The sequence below is a fragment of the Homo sapiens genome, chromosome 17 (assembly GCF_000001405.40).
Source record: "Homo sapiens chromosome 17, GRCh38.p14 Primary Assembly".
NCBI classification, from domain to species: Eukaryota; Metazoa; Chordata; class Mammalia; order Primates; family Hominidae; genus Homo; species Homo sapiens.
This window is the reverse complement of record NC_000017.11, coordinates 46,847,963-46,868,190: the sequence shown is the minus strand read 5'-3', so window position 1 is coordinate 46,868,190 and position 20,228 is coordinate 46,847,963. Positions and strand designations below refer to the sequence as shown.

The 20,228-nt window shown below is 51.0% G+C and overlaps 2 protein-coding genes across 4 annotated transcripts in view, besides 2 other annotated features; both read right to left on the bottom strand.

Moving 5' to 3' along the window:
• LRRC37A2 (leucine rich repeat containing 37 member A2) overlaps window positions 1-20,228 on the bottom strand; it is a 676,337-nt gene that overhangs the window by 180,938 nt on the left and 475,171 nt on the right. The gene's annotated exons all lie outside the window — the stretch shown is intronic.
• WNT9B (Wnt family member 9B) overlaps window positions 1-20,228 on the bottom strand; it is a 53,550-nt gene that overhangs the window by 18,548 nt on the left and 14,774 nt on the right. For 2 of the 3 annotated variants that reach the window (NM_001320458.2, NM_003396.3), the window contains exon 1: window positions 16,476-16,608. The exons of the other annotated variant lie outside the window; for it this stretch is intronic. In NM_001320458.2, the coding sequence (NP_001307387.1) occupies window positions 16,476-16,552 (77 nt within the window). In that variant the 5' untranslated portion in view covers window positions 16,553-16,608. Of the gene's footprint in view, window positions 1-16,475; window positions 16,609-20,228 lie in introns of those variants that run through there. 3 annotated transcript variants of the gene reach the window in all.
• Window positions 3,165-3,990: an enhancer, noted in NCBI's record as "H3K27ac-H3K4me1 hESC enhancer chr17:44941567-44942392 (GRCh37/hg19 assembly coordinates)". NCBI's record gives its function as "activates a minimal SCP1, AML or CMV promoter by ChIP-STARR-seq in naive H9 embryonic stem cells {active_cell/tissue: H9 hESC(naive)}" and the evidence as "EXISTENCE:reporter gene assay evidence [ECO:0000049][PMID:30033119]".
• Window positions 4,094-4,336: a silencer, noted in NCBI's record as "fragment chr17:44941221-44941463 (GRCh37/hg19 assembly coordinates)". NCBI's record gives its function as "represses an EF-1alpha promoter that drives an FKBP-Casp9 reporter gene in an ReSE screen in phorbol 12-myristate 13-acetate-treated (for megakaryocytic differentiation) K562 erythroleukemia cells {active_cell/tissue: K562(+PMA)}" and the evidence as "EXISTENCE:reporter gene assay evidence [ECO:0000049][PMID:32094911]".

Below are 20,228 nucleotides of genomic sequence, written 5' to 3'. Positions count from 1 at the left end.
TAATTGCTCTTCTGGGCTGGGGGCTACTGCCTGACTCAGGTGCTCCTGAGCCTCCTGGGGCCACCACTCTATCAGGCTGCACCTGCTTTGGCCCAGCTACCTCCACTATTCCTGTCTGTCTCAGGCTCCCCAGGCTAACTTCCAGCCTCTCTTTTCCCATTAAGAAAGCAATGACCCCAGGTGAACAGCGGCCGCCTCCTCCCCTTGCTGCCCCCAGTCTGTGCCCTTCTGTTCTCTGCACCTTCACCCCATGGTCCTTGGTGGTCAGGTTCATCATAAAACCAGAGCCCCCACCTCCACACATGCGATGACCTCTGGCTTGGACCCCAGGACACCCCCAACCACTTGACAGACCAGCCTGTCTTTCTCTAGAGTGGGAGAAGTCAAGGGTGCCCCTCAGGGCTTCATCTCACACACTCTCACCCTCAGATCTCTTCTGATCCTCCTGGAACCTCCTTCCCCACCTCCTTTCACACTCTCCAACACACACCCCACCCACAATTGTGGCTAAAGCTGCCCCGCTGGGGTGACCTTGAAGGAAGCAGAAGATGGCTCTCCCAGGTTTTGGCAAAAGCCTCCCAGGAGACTGCTCTGTCCACCGTCAGCAGGACCCCAGGGACCTCACCCTTCAGTAATCACCCACCCCCTGCCTGGAGAGTGGGGCCCAAGGATCTCATGCCCCAAGGCTGTTCTGGCCTAGGTAGTCTGGTCCTAGGTCTGACTCACTCCGAGGTGACCTCAGGGTTGTCCCCTCACCAACTGAGCTCATTCCATCAAACAAATACACCTTAACTCATGAGAGGGGATGGCTGGAGCCAGACTGCCTGGGTTCAAATCCCACCTCCACCTCTTCCTAGTTGTGCTACCTTAGGCAAGGTGCTTTACCTCTCTATGCTCTGAGAGCAGTGAGCACACAGTAAGCTCCAGATAAGTATTTGTCATTAGTGAGCATCTACCATGTGCCAGGTACTGTGCTGGGACACGGTCCTGCCCTCAAGAAGCTCACAGTCTGGAAGGAAGTTGGTTGGACTCAGGAGTCCTCCAGACTCTCTCAAGGCCCCAAGAAGGGGAAGGAAGAGAAAGCTTTGCACTGGCCTGCCTCCTTGAGGAAACACCAGTAGCTGCTTAGGGACCCAGATCAGAACTCCTGGTACCATGCAGGTGAGAACTTGATCTTGACCAGTCCCATCCTGCCTGTAGGAGGCCTGGGGGTGAGGAGGAGGCAAGAGGAAGCTCTCAGGGAGCACTCCAGGCTGTTTGGGGAAGACCAGGTTGGTGGAGAGCTTTTCTCATCACCTAAGAGGACCCCAAGCCCTGTTCTTCCACCTACTCCCATCCTAGTTTCTGCTTGAGAGGGTCTGATGCTTTCAGCAGAGGCTATCCCCAGGATGTGGTGGGTGGGTGGCACAGGACAAGGCAGGTGGTTTCTAGGGCACCAGGTAATGCCAGTGTGTCTGGACTCTTAGCTGGAGGGTCCAGGAGTAGTGCATTACGCCAGGGCCATGCCAACTACAGGCAGCTGCCTGGGAACCGGGAAAGCCTTGTGCTGCCCGGGGTGCTGGCTTCCACCCTGAAAAACCCCATCAGATGCTCCTGATAACAGGCTTCCGCTGCAAGGCCATTTGCATGGTGAGTGCGCCCTTTGTGCTTTCATCTCAAACGTCTCAGTCTACCTCTCCTGGCCCTCACTGATCCCCCTACACACACAAATACACACACACACTCACACTCCCTCACACACACATCCACATTCATACACACCTATACTCGCACATACACTCATGCACACTCTCACACATACACACATTCTCACGCACATACACACTCACACACACACTCTCACACACCCCTAGCCCCTCCTGTGCTCTCCGCTCCCAACCTCTTCCCAGTAGCGGGGAGTTCAGTGAGGGGCAGTGCCTGGCCCAGTAAGAGAGGGCACCATGGCTCTGGGCAGCCCTTTTTTGAGGGTGGCTGCTCAACACCAACTCCAGGCTTCTCTCCCCTCCTGCTGTTACACTGGGAGGCCCCAGATTTCCCCTACTGTGAGCACACCCTCCCCTCTACCTTCCAGGTGCCTTTCTCTTCTACAGCACCCAATGCCACCTTGCACCTCCTCCATGACGTCCTGCAGCCAGGCAAATTCGGAAGCTACTATTTCCAACCTTCCTACCTTTATGCCCAACTCTCTCCACCCCCTCTTTTCACTTACTCGCTCATTCATTTATACCTCTATTAACTGAGTATCAATAAACAAAAGTACAACTATAAAGGATTTTTTTGGTCAGGCATTGTGGCGCGCACCTGTAGTACCAGCACTTTGGGAAGTCAAGGCAGGTGAATCACTTGAGCCTAGGAGTTCAAAACCAGCCTGGGCAACGTAAGTGAGACGTTGTCTCTACAAAATTAAAAATTAAAAAATTAGCTGGGCATGGTGGCACGTGCCTGTGGTTCCAGCTACAGGCTAGGAGGATCGCTTGAGCCCAGGAGGTCAAGGCTGCAGTGGGCCATGATCACGCCACCGCACTCCAGCCTGGGTGACAGAGTGAGACCCTGTCACACACACCAAAAAGGACTTTTCTAAGCATCAGCTTTTTGCCCAGTCCACCCACAGACCTCAAAACCACTCGTTCCTCCTGTCTGGCTCCCCAACCCCTACTCCTGGATCCAGCCTTCCTTCCCTACCCAGCTCTCACCCTCCATCCCCATGAACCCACCCTGAGGACTGAATCTGGCCACACTTCCCCGCTGGAGCCCACCCCACAGCCTCGTCCCCCACCCATCCCTGACTCAGAGAGGAAAGAGCCGGGTCCAGCTGTAGGCTTTGTCTCTCCAAGCACAGCCCCACTTCCTGTCTCACAGCCGCAGACCAGGCTGCCTGCAGGGGATGGCATCAGGGAGACGTGCTCAGGGGCTAAGTGGGTAGTGAGCAGCTCGCACAGCAAGCATGCTTTGCATCTCAACAATCCCCGGCATTTAGAGTGTGGCTAGTTCAACATCTGTGAAGGAAATGCTTTTTCTTCTTCCTCCTGTCTCTCTCCCTCTCCACTCAGGCTCGGGCTGAAGCCAAGGAGAGGAAGCCTTTGTCCCTGGCACGTATGCATCAGGTGTCACAGTGGCTGCGGAGGGTCCCCAAAGTCATTCCTGCAAAGAAGGATCCATCACCTCTATGAGTCTGTGACTGTAAACATCTACCCCAGTTCCTAGGCTGAGTCCAAATGTACACCATTCAAACCATTATACGTTAGAGCTGGAGAAACCCTTTAAGGTCACCCGGCCCAGAAGTTCTGCTCTGCTGGCTCCTGGAAGGTGTCCTGGAGGCTGTGCGGGGAAGCAGGAGGGCAAGGGCATGCCAAGTGTGCAGGTCTCCGGTGGCCACAAATTCATGCAAGATTGGTCGTCCAAGGCGACCCACTGGCTTGGTAGCAGGGCTGGGTCTGTGGCCCAGGTCTCTTGATTGCTTCCACCAAGCCTGGCAGTTTCTGCTTGCAGACCCAGCACATCAGGGAAGCCAAATCAGCCATCACCACAGCAAGCATCTAAGGTGGTGGAAATGCAAGACAGCTAGGTTTTGAGGGAAGGAAACCTGGTCAGGACTCCTCTGACCCCCTGGGTGGCCCAAGGGTGGACCCTCAGGAAGGGAGAGAAAGACCCTCTGTTTAAAGGCTACTTTCCCTGGTCTGAAACTCAGTCTCTTCAGCAAAAAGTCAGGAATCAGGCTTACAGAAGTGGCCTACCTCTTCATACTAAAGTGTGAGAGTCTGATACAATACCAGTGCTTGAGAACATACTTGGCTAGATAGAGGGAAGTTCAAAGGAGAGGGCCTGGTATGTGAAGAGAAGGAGTTGGGGGAGCTTGGTGTGGGGATGTGGAGGCAGTGGGTGGGAAGTTCAGGGAAAGGCAAATCATGGCTGAAACCGCACTCCTGGTGGCAAGTTCCTACCCAACCAGGGTACTGGGTGACTCTGGCTGGGTGACTGCAGCCAAGTTATTTAACCATGACGCATTGACCAACTAACTACCTTGACAGGTTCTTGAATGCACCCTGGGCTCCGATCACCCTCTTCCCACGCACAGGCAGGCTCAGGCTGGGCTTGGGCCCTGGAAGGGCCAGGCCTCTGGGGAATGCCTTGTGCGTGACCCCCTCAATGATGAGGACAGTGCCATTGTTTGCACAGGCTCTAGGCAGAGATGTCCCATGCTGCAGATTCCACTTGTTCTCCTGCAGGCCCCACGGATGGCCCACACCCTTCGCCCAGCTGTAGGGACAGCAGGAACCTCCCTGCCTGATCAAGGATCCACCCCCAGAGTAGTCCAGGACACCCCCTGGGATGGATGTAGTTGTGAGCGGCTCCCTTGGGAATAGAACCACTAGGACTGTCCTAAATCCAGAGCCAGCCAGGGCTGGAGAAAGGGGACCCTCCCCTCAGCCAGGCTAGTCTCTCCCTTGTCCTCTGCCATGTCTAACTCGGTCCGACCCCCATGCTGTAACCTTCTCCCAGTCCAAAAGCCCTCATGGATACCCTGGAACCTTTTATAGCCATGTCCTTTTTTAACATTTGATCACCCCGAGGTCCCAGACAGCTCTAGTATGCTGTGATGTTTGTTTGCCTCCTCCAGGAAGCCCTCCTTACTTGCCAGCCCCATCCCCCTCTAACCATCCTCTTTCTTTGTCTTCTCCCACTTTTGTATATATAGTACCATCAGTTCCGCATGGCAGACACTCCTTTCTTCCTCTTCAAAGCTGTATCCTGTAAGCTCCTTGGCAGAGGCCATGGTTTTTCATACCCTGAGATCCATTCTTTCCCAGTCCAGATGCGTGCTCCTCCCAAGCAGATGCTCTACAGACACCTGCTGGCTGCATATTATGCCCCTTAGGTGTCTAACCCCACGCAAGGAGTGCAGTTCGGGGCTGTCCCTCAGCCTCCCTGCAGTCCCACCCTGCTGGCTTCGCTGTGGTCTTGCTCTCTGGCTGCAGAGGCTACCACCTAACGCCCCACCGCCAAACCTTCCCAAGCTGGGGCTGGGCGGGCTTTGGGAGGGCGTGGCTCTGGAGGAGGCTGCCTGTGCCACGCCCTCCCTAGCCCACGACTGATTGCTGGCGTATGCTCTCCCCAGTGCCAGATCTCGGGGCCATCCCGCCATGGTCCTCAGCCCCTGTGGGGCCCTGTACCTTGGGGTCTGAGAGCCAGGCCCGTTCCCTCTGAACCTCAGTTCCTGGGGAAGATCTGTGCTTGGGTAGCCTGGTGACACCCAGCGAGGACCAGCCAAGCAACTGGCCTGAGTCTTTGTTTAAAACTCAGCTTAGGCCTGGTACACAGTGGCTCACGCTTGTAATCCCAGCACTCTGGGAGGCCGAGGCGGGCGGATCACTTGAGATCAGGAGTTTGAGACCAGCCTGGCCAACATGGTAAAACCCCATCTCTACTAAAGATACAAAAAATTAGCCAGGTGTGGTGGTAGACGCCTGTTGTCCTAGCTACTCGGGAGGCTGAGGCAGGAGAATCCCTTGAACCTGGGAGGCAGAGGTTGTAGTGAGCTAAGATCCTGCCACTGCACTCCAGCCTGGGCGACAGAGCAAGACTCCGTCTCAAAAAAACAAAACAAAACAAACAAAAAAAACTCAGCTTGCACAACCTCTCGCAGTGACTTGGGCTCAGAATTTGCCACAGATTCACAAACCCTTATCCACAATTCCAAATTCCAGGAAACTCAGAAAACTACAAGTTTTTTTAACAATTGTGGTGAACTCATACGGTAGCAAGCCCTGACCCAAACCAGGGAGAATATTATGGGCTTTGTTTATCCCAACCTGTAGATGTCTACCTGCAAAATTAATAGAGTCTGATTACAGGTGCTGCCCCAGATCTTGCTAGAGGTGCTGTTAGCCATGGAATATACGATACGTTACCTTTCTGTACTTTTAATTTTTTAATTTTTATTTTTTAAGTTTATTTGTTCTGCCTCCCCTACCTCCTATATTACTTTTCTTTCCCTTTTCTTTTTCTTTTTCTTTTTTTTTTTTTTTTGAGACGGAGTTTCACTCTTGTTGCCCAGGCTTCAGTGCAATGGCACAATCTCGGCTCACTGCAAACTCCGCCTCCCAGGTTCAAGCAATTCTCTTGCCTCAGCCTCCCAAGTAGCTGGGATTACAAGCGGCTGTCACCACGCCCAGCTATTTTTGTATTTTTAGTAGAGATGGGGTTTCACCATGTTGGCCAGGCTGTTCTCAAACTCCTGACCTCAGGTGATCCACCTGCCTCAGCCTCCCAAAGTGCTGGGATTACAGGCATGAGCCACTGCACCCGGCCTACTTTTCTAAAATTCAAAGAGAAATGTTGAATTCTGACAGCATCTGGCCTCAAAGGGATTGTAACACCAGGAAAAACAAACCCTTTGGTCTTGCCCTAAAACCAGCCTCTTGGAAGTTTCCAGGACTGACCAGAGCTTGGTAGTTGGTCTTTCTGGCTCTAAGACTCTTCACCCTCCTCTTCAGCCTTCATCTCTCCAATGAGGGGCTTGGGTGTAGAAGAGGCCACCCTATGCCCCCAGCTCATGTCTGCTGCTACCAGCATGCCATGAGGTGGTGGGTGTGGCTGATTTCTGGAGTCCGATGGGGATAAGTCTCTGCTCTCTGCTTTGTGTCCAGTTCCTATCCTGACAGAAGCCAGGCCATGGCTCCCAGTTGGCCAGGCCTAGGTGAGGTAGTATGTGCCCCAGAGAGCCCATGGAGGCAGAAGATGAAGGAGTGAATGGGACAGGGCACAGAGGGAGATTCCAGGGGAAAGGAAGGGCCAGTGAAAGGGAGAGGACGCTGCCCACCAAGATATTCACTGCAGACCAGGGAGCACTGCTAGAGACTGTGGGACTCAGCCAACAGCAGGGCCCCGAGGTCTCTACTAAAGGAAACTACAAGTGAATTGAAGACCTGAGCACCTGAAAAATTAGCTAATGAGCCAAGAGTTTGAGACACACAGGACAACAGATGCCCAGGACATGCACCAAGTGCAGGGCCTGGGCCACAGGGTCGGGGCTCAGAGGGACAGAGCTGCCCTAAGGGGACAGGCCTCCAGTTGGGGTTCCACTGCCAACATATGGCAGAGATGAAGAGGTTGGCTTGGATTCTGACAGTTTCCCCCCAACACGCACACCTATAAATGAGGATAACTGGCCAGGTATGATGCCTTGGGCCTGTAATCCCAGCTACTCAGAAGGCAGAGGCAGGAGGACTGCTTGAGGTCAGGAGTTCAAGGCTGCCATGAGCTATGATCAAGCCATTGCACTCTAGTCTGGGTGACAGAGCAGGAACCTATCTCTCTAAAAATAAAAAAAAAGTGAAATTTTAAAATAAATGAGAATTATATCAGCACCTACCTCCTGGGTTGCCACAATGTGAGGTGAAGTAATGCACATAAAGTGCTGAGCACAGAAAAGGCTGGGTTTGTTCTGAATTGTACAGTGGCTGGGATACAGGCACAGAGAAGAAGGAACAGATGTCACCACCAAAGACTCTTCTAAACGTGGGACGCTGTAAGGCAGATCACTAGATTTCTTGGAATCCTTATATAGAGATAGCATTTGAATACCTATATATACATTCATTTAACTCTTACAACAAGCCTAAGAGATCAAGATTATCCCATTTTACAGATGAGAAAACTGGGGTCAGAATGGTTATCTGACTTGCCCTGGGTCAGTCAGTAAGTGGTAGATGGAGATTTGAACTCTGATCTGTGTGACCCCAAGCCCAGTGCCCCTTACACTATAACAGGGCCTTGGGCCATGTCCGATCCTGCTCATGCTGATGCCAGGATGGGAGTCACCCTCACAGCACCTGGCCCACCTCCTCCTGAGCCCAACTTCCACCTGAGCACATAATCCCAAAGGCACCAGGACCTCTCTTCCTTAGGAGATTCCAGCCCGGGAGTCTGCCGGCCCCGCTTCCCTCCTCTCCTCCTTCCCGTCCTCAGCCACAGAAAGTCCACCATCATCCACTGAAGAGGCTAGGATGACTCTCAGCCCAACTCTGGAGCCCAGCTCCTCAGGGGTTACAGCTCAGCCAGAGACAAGCTGGCCTAAATTCCTTCCCAAAACACAGTGATTCTTATCAGCGATGTTTGGCTTTCAGTCCACCACCCCCAAAGCAGTAAAATTTCTTTTACCTTTCCTTCCCTCCAACTATGTTTTTCTCAGGCCCCAATTCAATTTCTAAAAATGTGTTTTTATTAAAAATAAAAACAATACTATCTAAATACATAGAGCACATTGGAAGAATTTCTTTTTTTAAATTTTCAATGCCTGCACACTGAAAACTAGAAAACACTGCTGAGAGAAATTACAAAAGCTCTAAATAGAAAGATATGGCCTGTGTGCAAATCAGCAGACTCAATATTGTTAGAACGTCAATCTTCCATGAACTGATGTATAGATTCAATGCAATCCCAGTCAAAATCCTAGGAGGCTTTCATGTGGATATTGACGAGATACTACTAAAATCTATGCCGAAATACAATGACCCTGAATAGCCCATGCAATTTCGAAAAAATAGTGCACAGTTAGAGAACTTATAGTACTTAGTTTCAAGACTTAACATAAAGCTATAGTAATCTAGGAATATAAAAGGCTTATTGGGGAAAAATTTTTTTTAAAGCTACTGTAATCAAGGCTGTATAGTATTGGCATAAGGATAGGCATATAGATAAATGAAACAGAGTAGAGTGTCCAGAAATAGGCCCACACATATTGAATCAATTGATGAGCAACAAAGATGACAGTGGAGAAAACATCATCATTTCAACAAATGGCACTGAAACACGTGGACATTCATATGCAAAATAATAAGCTTGCCCCTTACTCCATGCTGTACACACTAGTTAACTCAAAATGAACCATAGACTTAAGGGTAAAAGCTAAGATTGGCTGGGTGTGGTGGCTCACGCCTGTAATGCCAGCACTTTGGGAGGCCGAGGCAGGTGGATCACCTGAGGTCAGGAGTTCAAGACCAGCCTGCCCAACATGGTGAAACCCCATCTCCACTAAAAATACAAAATTAGCTAGGCACAGTGGCGGGCATCTGTACTTCCAGCTACTCAGGAGGCTGAGTCAGAAGAATCACTTGAACCCGGGAGGTGGAGGTTGCAGTGAGCCGAGATCATGCCACTGCACTCCAGCCTGGGTAACAAGAGTGAAATTCTGTCAAAAAAAAAAAAAAAAAGCTAAAATTATAAGTTTCTAGCTGTGGCTCATGCCAATAATCCCAGCAGTTTGAGAGGCCGAGGCAGGAGAATTGCTTGAGCCCAGGAGTTTGAGACCAGCCTGAGCAACATAGCAAAACCCCATCTCTACAAAAAAATAAAAAATTAGCTGGGCGTGATGGCGCATGCCTGTGGCCCCAGCTACTCAGGAGGCTAAGGCAGGAGGATCACTTGAGTCCAGAAGGTCGAGGCTGTAGTGAGCTGTGATTGTGTAACACATTTAGTTTCCTTGTGAGAACTATTTACACCCATCCTACATGGTTCTGGAGGAATGGCCCTGAGGATCAGGTGAGAGAAGGGGCTGTATGAGAAAGTGATTTGTAAACTGCAATACTAGTTATTATGTTTTTATCACCACCAACAGAATTAGGCTCCAGGCTTACTCAAAAGCAGCAGAAGCAACTCTAGCCTGGAGGACCGAAAGATATCATTTCTCCAAAAAATAAAATAAAATAAAATAAAATAAAATAAAAAGGAGAAAACGTAGGAAGAAATCTTTGCAACTTTTGGGTAGGCAGAGATTTCTTGGGTAGAACACCAACAAAGCACAAACCATACAAGAAAAGGTTGATACACTGGACTTCATCAAAATTAAAAACATCTGTTCTTCATAAGACATCAATAAGAAAATGAAACGGCAAGTCACGGGCAGGAATAAAATATTACCAGTACTTGTGACAAAGACTTGTATCCAAAATATATAAAGAACTCTTAGGCCAAGTGGCTCACGCCTGTAATCCCAGCACTTTGGGAGGCCGAGGTGGGTGGATCACATGAGGTCAGGAGTTCAAGACCAGCCAGGCCAACATGATGAAACCTTATCTCTACTACAAATACAAAAATTAGCCGAGCATGGTGGCGCATGCCTGTAGTCCCAGCTACTTGGGAGGCTGAGCCACAAGAATTGCTTGAATCCAGGAGGTGGAGGTTGCAGTTAGCCAAGATCATGCCATTGTACTCCAGCCTGGGATACAGAGTGAGACTCCATCTCAAACAACAGCAACAACAACAACAACAAAATACATAAAGAACTCTTACAATTCAATAAGAAGACAAATAACCCAATGAAATGATATTCAAATGACCAATATACACATGGGAAAATGTTCAACACACCATTCATCAATGGGGAAATACAAATTAAAACCACAATGAGATACTACTACATACTTACGAAAATAGCCACAAGTTAAAACTGATGATAGCTGACCATAGAATATGGAGCAACTGGAACTCTCATACATTACTGTGTAAAATGGTAAAACCACTCTGAAAAATGCCAATTCTATAAGTTATGCATATATCAACCATCTGATCCAACAATCCACTCCTAGACAGTTATCCAAGAGAAATGAAAACATACACCCACAAAAAGAGATGTACATGGATGTTTATACCAGCTTTATTTGGAATAGTCCAAAACTGCAAATAACCCAAATATCTTTTTTTTTTTTTTTTTTTTTTGAGACAGAGTCTTGCTCTGTTGCCCAGGCTGGAGAGCAGTGGCACAGTCTTGGCTCACTGCAACCTCTGCCTCCTGGGTTCAAGTGATTCTCCTGCCTCAGCCTCCTGAGTAGCTGGGATTAGAGGCATGCACCACCACCATCACACCCAGCTGATTCTTGTAATTTTAGTAGAGATGGGTTTTCACCATGTTGGCCAGGCTGGTCTCGAACTCCAGACCTCAAGTGATCTGCCCGTCTCGGCCTCCCAAAGTGCTGGGATTACAGGCATGAGCCACCACGCCCAGCCAAAATAACCCAAATGTCTATCAAGTGGGGAATGGATAAATAATTTGTGGTATAGCCATACAAAGGAATACTCAGCCATAAAAAGGAATTCGCTATTGCTATATTCAACGACATGGATGAATCTCAAAAGCTTTATGCTGAGCAAAATAATCCAAGCAAAAGAGGCTATATACTCACAATTTCATGATATAAACTTCCAGAATAGGCAAAACTAACACATAGTGACTGAAAGCGGAGAAGTGGAGTAGCCATGGGCTGGTGGGAGAGGGTTGATTGCAAAGAGGAACAAAGGATCCTTTAGGATGGTAGAAATGTTCTATGTAGTCATTGGAGTCACCACAAATGTGTTACACAGGTGTATAATTTGTTAAAACCCAAACTGTGCAATTTAAAATGCATGCATTGGCTGGCCGTGGTGGTGCACGCCCATAATTCTAGCACTTTGGGAGGCTGAGGTGGGTGGATCACCTGAGGTCAGGAGTTTGAGACCTGCTTGGCCAACATGGTGAAACCGTGTCTTCACTAAAAATACAAAAATTAGCTGGGCATGGTGGCGCACACTTGTCATCCCATCTACTTGAGAGGCTGAGGCAGGAGAATCACTTGAACCGGGAGGCGGAGGCTGCAGTGAGCCGAGATTGCACCACTGCATTCCAGCCTGGGCGACATAGTGAGACTCCATCTCAAAAAAAAAAAAAAGAAAGAAAAAGCATGCATTTCATTGTATATAACAACGATTTGGGGGGAAAATAAAGATTATGTTTTGTTTCTCCAATGGAATTATAGTAATGACACTTCCACCACCTGGGATGATGTTTAGAACCCCAGCATCCACTGAGAGTGAGCCTGGACTGAGCACTTAGCACATATGTGCCAGACACCCTATCCAGCCCTTTCATTCATTGTTTCAATTAAGCCTCACCCTCACCTCTCAGATAGGTATTCTCATAACCCAAAGCTCAGCAAGGTTAAGACATTTGTCTAAAGTCACACAGTTAGCAACAGGCAAAGCTGGGATTCACTGTCTTGGGCTTTCATAAACTTCTCTGTACTATCCCTAGAGAGGAAAGAAACTCAACCAGTGCAGAGGTCACACACTGAAGAAACATCACCAAAGTTAATTATGATTTAAAAACTTGCATCCACAGAAACTATTTCTAGTTACAAAGCCACTCGGATAACTTACAGACTGGACTGGGGGCCGGGCATGGTGGCACACACCTATAAGCCCAGCAGTTTGGGAGGCTGAGGTGGGTGGATCATTTGAGGTCAGGAGTTCCAGACCAGCCTGATCAACATGGTCTCTACTAAAAATACAAAAATTAGCCAGGCATGGTGGCACATGCCTGCAATCTCAGCTACTGGGGAAGCTGAGGCAGGAGAATCTGTTGAACTTGGGAGGTGGAGGTTGCAATGAGCCGAGATCACACCATTGCACTCTAGCCTGGGTGACAGAGCGAGACTCCGTCTCTAAATAAATAAATAAATAGACTGGATTGGGTAACTGGGCCTGTCTTGTGCCCAGCTCATCACATAATGCAGTGCATTTTCATTTATACAACATCACAGAAGTTAACATTTGTGGAATTCCTAGGCATTCAAAGCCAAAATAAAAACTCTTCAGCAATCCTAGACTTCCAGAGCCAGGACCAGCCCTGTTAGCATTAGGGAACCTTAGCACCTCCAGGTGCTACTGACCTTGGAGATGAGTGACTTGATCAGGGACAACACAGAGAGTGTCCCAGAGCCAGGACTAGCTTGGACCCTCACCTCTGGTCCGCCTCCTGTCCCACTGCCATCATGCTGTTCTGTGAGCCAAACTGACAGTCTAGCAGGGGTCAGTGCAACCCGTCTCACTACTGAGGACAGAAAAGAATGTGCGGCCTTATCCATCTCACTACAGCCAAGAGAGTCTAAAAGAGTCAATTAAGCAGGGAAGGGAGGCTCCCTCCACCCTCACCCCCTTCGGCCTCTCTGCAGCCACTGCTGCCCTGGGGGAATCATACTGTCTTAGCACTGGAGGCTGTTCCTGTAGGTTGAAGGGCCCAGACTGGAAGCAGGGTTTCTATTCAACCTCCCCCACCGATTCACTGTGTAACACTGGGTGACTGACTGAACCTTTCTGACCTTCAGATTCCTTGTGGGAACTATTTACACCCATCCTACATGGCTCTGGAGAAATGGCTCTGAGGATCAGATGAGAGAGATGGCTGTATGAGAAAGTGATGGGCTGGGCATGGTAGCTCATGCCTGTAATCCCAGCACTTTAGGAGGCCCAGGCAAGTGGATCACCTGAGGTCAGGAGTTCAAGACCAGCCTGCCCAACATGGTGAAACCCCATCTCTATTAAAAATACAAAAATTAGTGGGGTGTGATGGGGGGCACCAGTAATCCTAGCTCTCGGAAAGCTGAGGCAGGAAAATTGCTTGAGCCCAGGAGGTGGCGGTTGCAGTGAGCCGAGATCATGACACTGCACCCAGCCTGGGTGACACAGCAAGACTCCATCTCAAAAAAAGAAAAAAGAGATTTGTAAACTGCAATACTAGTTATGTTTTTTTTTATCACCATTAACAGAATTAGGCTCTAGGCTCACTCAAAAGCAGCAGAACCAACAGCTGGCTCACTGTGGTTTGGGGTTTGGGGGTTGCCTCATCTGAAAAATTGGGATAATAATACATCCTGCTTGAAGCAGTGAGTTTTGGACCAGAGATCCTTCTGGGGTCACTTCCAACTCTGAAGTCTACGATTCTATGATTTCAAAGAGCCCAAGAAGATCGGCCTCACCTGCCCTCCTGATGTTTGCATATTCTCTTATCAGGATGCCAAAGCACTTTGTGTTATAATCAAATGCAAATGACTGCGGAGGAAGAAGCGCTTTGCCTCACTTTCCCACTACAGTGTAGATGACTGATACCAGATTCCTCCCAGACAGCGAATGCAGATGGGAAGCTGGGAAACCTGGTCTGAGTCACCAGAGGGTTTCTTAACTGAGAGCTCAGGCTGAATCCTGTCTGTTCCCTGAGACCAAACACTTAACATCATGAGGCCCCAGTTTTAGCTGATTCTCTGAGCATCTGTCCTGCTCCCCAGATTGGGGTGGTGGTGGCTTTTGTGTCTTTTGTCAGCTCTTTCCAGCTGGGCTCCTGACCTGGAAGAGGTGGCTCCGATACTCATCCCTCTCAGCCCTAACCCAGGCCTATTTGACCATCTCACATGTCATTTTCAAGGCTGCTCCATGCTCAGTTCCCTCAAAATTCTAACCCCATGCACTGCTGAGAACACCTTTCCCTTCCAATACAGCAGCTAGGGTGGTCCTCCTGGAACCCCTCTCCTCTCATCTCACCTGACTCTTGCCCCATCTCTAACCATAAAAACCAAGCAAACAAATGAATCGTGGAAATGAGCCAGTGTGTAAGAGGATATAGGTACCATTTGTCCCATCCCTTTCCATTCCAGCTCAGAAAACTGTTAGGGCCAGGACATCAAGATTCTATAACTGGTTTCCTTAATGAAAAAAACTAGCCAGGCCTGGTGGCTCATGCCTGTAATCCCAGCACTTTGGGAGGCTGAGTTGGGCAGATTGAGATCAGGAGTTCGAGACCAGCCTGGCCAACATGGTGAAACACTGTCTCTACTAAAAATACAAAAATTAGCTGGGCATGGTGGCACGCGCCTATAGTCCCAGCTATTCAGGAGGCTGAGGCAGGAGAATCGCTTGAACCCATGAGATGGAGGTTGCAGTGACCCAAGATCACATCACTGCACTCCAGCCTGGGTGACAGAGGGAGACTCCGTCTTAAAAAAAAAAAAAAAAAAAAAAAAAAGTCACTAGCATTAGTTGAGCACTTACTGCATGCTAGACACTGTCCTAAGTGCTTTACATGTACTAGCTCAATCTTCTTATAAAATAGGCAGTATAATCTTCATTTTACAGATTGAGAGACTGAGAGACAGAGAGGTTAAGTTAAGTGACTTGGCCAAGAGCACACCTAGCAAGTGGCAAGACTGACCCCAGAGTCTGTGCCCTAGTGATGATGACATCCTGCCTGCCGAGGGAACAACCATTCCTTCAAGCCTGAAATCTTCGGAAACAAACAAGTTGTGCACTGCTGTTGGGGTGGATCGCAAAAGGATCAGTCATATCAAGTTCAACCCCTTCTTTGTACAAAAGGAGAAAGTGAGGCCCAGAGACTGAGTGGTCTTCCCATATCATTAGCAAGCTAAGCCCAGAGCTAGGGTCTGGGATGATACCCTCCTCCACAGCCCAGACATGTTTCCACCAGGGGTCATGACCTGGAAATTAGCCCACAGCCCTTACTCCAACCTGTGCAGAACTTCTCAGACCTTTACATACCTCTCCCTGGCTACTTCTTCAAAGCAGCCTCTAGCAGGTCACTTGCTTGGTGTTTTCTTGCCTTTGCTGTATATACTCAGACTGTAAGCCTCCTATTGATTTGGGGTGAAGATTTTAAAAGGAGGCAAGGCTTAAAGTAACAGGCTGTACATATTGGAGTTGGCTTTGGGTGGATGGTGGGAAGGTGCCTTCTTACCCATGATACCCGCCCCCATCCCTCACCAAATCCCTGCAATTCAGGGTCAGAGAAGAAGGGACTGGAAACAATTGCCCTATAACTTTTGCTCCAAACATTCCCCACATAGTTCCTGTCCGGCTCTCTCCCCAGTGTCACCTACCCCACTGTCCCCCAGGTGTCACCCCCCACTGTGATCCTCCTTTTCCAACCATGTACACACACACACACACACACACACACACACACACACACACACACACACACACTGGGCCCTCTCACTCTTTCCAGTGTTCTCCTGAGAAATCACCCCATGCCAGGTCTGAGATGTGGTCGCATTTCCCCAGCGCACGGTTCCTTCCTGCGTCTCCAGCTGGCGCTCTCACCGTCCGAGGTTTCCCCCATTCTCCCTGGACGCGCACGATCCTCTGCCCCGAGACCGGGAACAGCCCGTCCCACCCATCCACCCAGCCCTCTCGGTCTCCGCTCCGCAGGGCGAAGGCGGAGGGTGGGGAAGGAGTCCGAGGCAAGGACGGCTCGCCGGAGGCCAGGATGGCGGCAGACAGGGCACCGGCGTGAGGATCCCGAGAGGGCATCAGAGAGCGGGACTGACGCCTGAACGGGCGGGGCCGGGGCGGACGGGGCCAGGGTCCGAGGCGTGCGCAGAGTCCGAGACCCGGCGGGATGAGGAGAGCGGCGGCTGGGGGGCGACCAGAGACTCGGACACTGAACAGGGCGATGGATTCGGAGCCGGGGAAGCTGGAGACCGAACTCAGGGCGCGAACTCCGACTGCGAAGTGGGTTGGGTCGCGCCGGGCTAGGGTCTGAGTTCGAGACCTCGGCGGGGCCAAGGACAGCGGGAGGGAAAAATTGGCCCAGCTGTAGCGCAGGAGGGAGAGACAGGCAGGCCGGGGAGCGGGCGGGGGGCGCGGCGGGCACTGACCCGAAGTAGGAGGCGGCGGCGGCGGGCAGCGCCAGCAGGCAGAGCCCGGCCAGGGCCAGCGCGGGCGGGGGGCGCATGGTGCTGGCGGCGCTGCGCCCTCTAGCATCTCCTCGCGCCGCTCAAGCTCGCAGCTCCGCCACCACCCGCCCGCGGGACTTTAAACCCGGGTGGGGCGGGGCAGGCGGCGCTGGGAAAGGAGGAGATTGGGAGGCTCCCCAGCCCCGGGCGGCGAGCCCCCCGCCCCATTGGCCCCACCGCCCTCGCCCCGCCCCGTCGCGGGTGGGGCAGCCGCCCCTGGACCGCCCCCGCCCCTCCCCCATTGCCCCGCCCTCCGGCCCCAGGTGAGCGCTCACCTGGCGCCGCGCCCGCCCGGGGTCGCGGTGGCTGAACGTGAAGCCCCCCGGGCCTGGAGAGGCGGGGAGGAGGGTACGAGGCGGGGACGGAGGAGATTCTGCCTCTCCGGGATGGGGCGGAGGCAAGCGCAATGGCTTCTCCGAGGTAGAGAAGGTGGAGGGGTAGGAGGAGGGACGCATCTGGAGTCGGTGGAAAACCCGGGTCATTGTCCGCCCTCCTGCCGGGCAAGTGCGGTCTCTTCGCCGCAGCCCGCAGACTCAGGGCAGGGCCGGGTCCTGGTGCAGAACCGCTCTCTGGAAGCGGGGGAAATGCATGTCCAATGGCTCAGGGGACCCTGTTGCCAGGCAAAGAGTCTTGGGCAGAGGGGAGAGAGGAAAGGGCGCTCTGTTTTTAAACGGGAGAGTGACTGTTACCGGCGAGGCGCGCAGCGTGGGCCTCCGTGGGCTTTTGACAAAATGCTGCTGATGTTCCCCAGCGCAGAAATCCAAAGTGGACAGTGGGGCAGACAGAGCCCTGCGGGAGGAGGGACCCACTTTCCAAGGTGTGTAGATGCCAGAATCTCTGGTAGATAGGGTGGGAACTTCAAGTGTTGGGCCCCAAAGTTCTGTTTTGCTTATTATTTTTTAAAGTTTAACCCCAATTTCTGCTGCGAAGGTGCAGAGATCAAAGCGGCGCGTGGTACCTGTCTAGAAAGGAGACATACAACCAATGACCCAAGTGAGATTTAAAATGTTTTTGAGAGTCTCGAACACGGGGTCAAATCAAGCAAAACAAAATATAACTTGCAATGAATGTCAAGATCTGCATGTAAAGTTTCCAAAAAATCAGCCATGCATAGGGAACATCAAGTGACTGCGACCTTGGCTTTTCAGTGGACACCAGCATGGTAGGGGGCTGAGAGAGGTGTTGAGGGAGGTGTTGGGAAGATGGTGGCTACCGTGTTAGGTGGCATTAACAGAGGAAGCCCCCACCTCTTTGAGCCTCTTTGAGCTCAGTTTCTCTGTCAAATGAGCGCAGTGATTACATGATCTGATGATTCCTAACAGCTCTGCCAGCCCTATCAAATCCCATGGTTCTACTTATTGAGGCCACATGGCCCAATGTAATGTGCAGAGACCTGGAGTCAAATCATGTAAGTTATGAGCCCCATATGAAATATGGATGATGAGAAATATCTAACAGGATTTTTGTGCAGGTAAGATGTTAAATGCTGGCCAGGCACGTTGGCTCATGCCTGTAATCCCAGCACTTTGGGAGGCCGAGGTGAGAGGATCACCTGAGGTCAGGAATTCGAGACCAGCCTGGCCAACATGGCAAAACCCTGTCTCTCCTAAAAATACAAAGACATTAGCCGGGTGTGGCAGTGCATGCCTGTAATCCCAGCTACTCAGGAGGCTGAGACAAGAGAATCGCTTGAACCTGGGAGGTGGAGGTTGCAGTGAGCCGAAATCACGCCATTGCACTCTGGCCTGGGCAATAGAATGGGACTCCATCTCAAAACAAAAAAAAAAAGATATTAAATGCCTAGCAGGTGCCGGCACCTAATATCAGTGATCGTTATACCTGCAGGCAGGACTGGGGTGTGATGGTGTTTACAACTGGTTCTCAAGGAGGGTTGATGGTGGTCTGATTTGTATCATCTGTTGATCTCTGTGCCTTAAATATTCCCATCATGGCTGACTTCATGCCACCAATGTGGCATCGTTTCTGATCACTGGAGTTAGGAAGAGATGTGCACAGCTAGCCCTGCAGGCCAGCTGGACCCAGCTCCAGCATATCACTGGTAAGATTTTGAACCACGATCACAGAAGCTAGAGGATGAGGGGCCTGAGCTGGACCAGTGTGAGTCAGAGAGAAGGAAGAGCCATGGACTGGGGTGGCAGACAGACCCCACCAGGCCCCAGCCACACCCCCTAGGCAGGTGAGGATGGAGTGGGTTCAGCTCAGGCTGCCCAGCTGCTCCTCCTGTTCTCATGCCCCTAAGCACACATAAGCATGCTTGTGCATGGAGAAGGCAGGGCACATTCTCCCAAAGTGACACCTTTTCAAAATTTCATGAAAGTTACATGTTGATGTCTGATGGGTAAGCCTATGAATCAAAGACTGGAAGAAGCACCCAAGACTCGATGGAGACATCAGTGGCTGGAGAGTGAGAAACACGAGGAAAATATTTAGATGGATGCTCTTGAATCCTTGCCAGCCAATGGCGTGGCCCCACCCTTGGGTTCCCTCCTCCTGATGTTAGAACTGTACCAGGTTTCTGTCTGCTGGGGTGCCTTCCAGCTTGCCCATGGAGGCTTCAGAGTTCTGCTTCTGTCTTTTTGGCCAATAAGGCTGCATAGAACTGCCCAGATAATAGCTCCTTCTTGCTAATAATAATAATTCCACAGCAGCTCCTGTGTACCAAGCTCTGTGTGTGTGTGTGTGTGCACGTGCACACATGTGCCGGGCCTGGCTCACAATCTCACTAAAGCCTCAAGCCCTCTGGGAGGCTGGGACAATCATAACTCCATTGCACAGATGAAAAAACAGAGGCTGGGAGAGCTGACGTAGCAGGTGTAGGTGGGCCAGCTGTAGTGGAGGCAGGAATTGAGCCCAGCCCTAGCCCAGCGGTACTGTCAGTACTGGCTATGGCTCATGATTGGCCATGGCTGGCTCAGAACTGCCCAGGCACAGCCTGACTCACAGACACCTTTGCATTATACATCCTTACAGAGCATCGTGTACCTCCTAAGTGTCCATCCCCAAGGGGCTTATAGCCTGGAGGGGGAGACGGCAGTGAAAACAGATCATCCCTGCAATTGTGATATTATAGGATCCCTGAGGAAGGACATGAAGAGCAGCCCTTGGGACCTACAGCCTGTGCCATAAATGATTTGTTGCTCTGCCACCTTCCCTCTGCCCTGTGGGCTCCTGAAGGGCTGGCCTGAGTTTCACTTCTCTCTGTGTCTCCAGAGTCTGGCACAGGTCCCAGCACATAGTAGGTACTCAGGAAACAAGTGTTGTTTTCAGCTTATAACCCTGGTTTGTGGCCTTTTTATGGCAGTAAACATGTAAAGTATCATACAAACACATGTGTGGTGACGGAAGCACTCCTTCCTGGGCTCGGACACGGGCTCCATGGGGCACACACACTACAGCCCAAGTCCAGGCATTTGGTGACACACAGACCCCCACTGTTCCCCCATGGGTGTCTACATTCCTGGGCAGCCCCACAGCTGGTCCTGGGTCCACACGTTCACACAGGTATGCAAGAGAAGCATTCTTGGATATCCACATGCAGCTACCTGTCTCCATTAACCAGCCCAAGGCAGCCAGCGCTCAGGGCTGGAGCCCTCTCCTCCTCTTGTGCACACATGCACGTGCACACACACACACACACACACACACACACTTTGG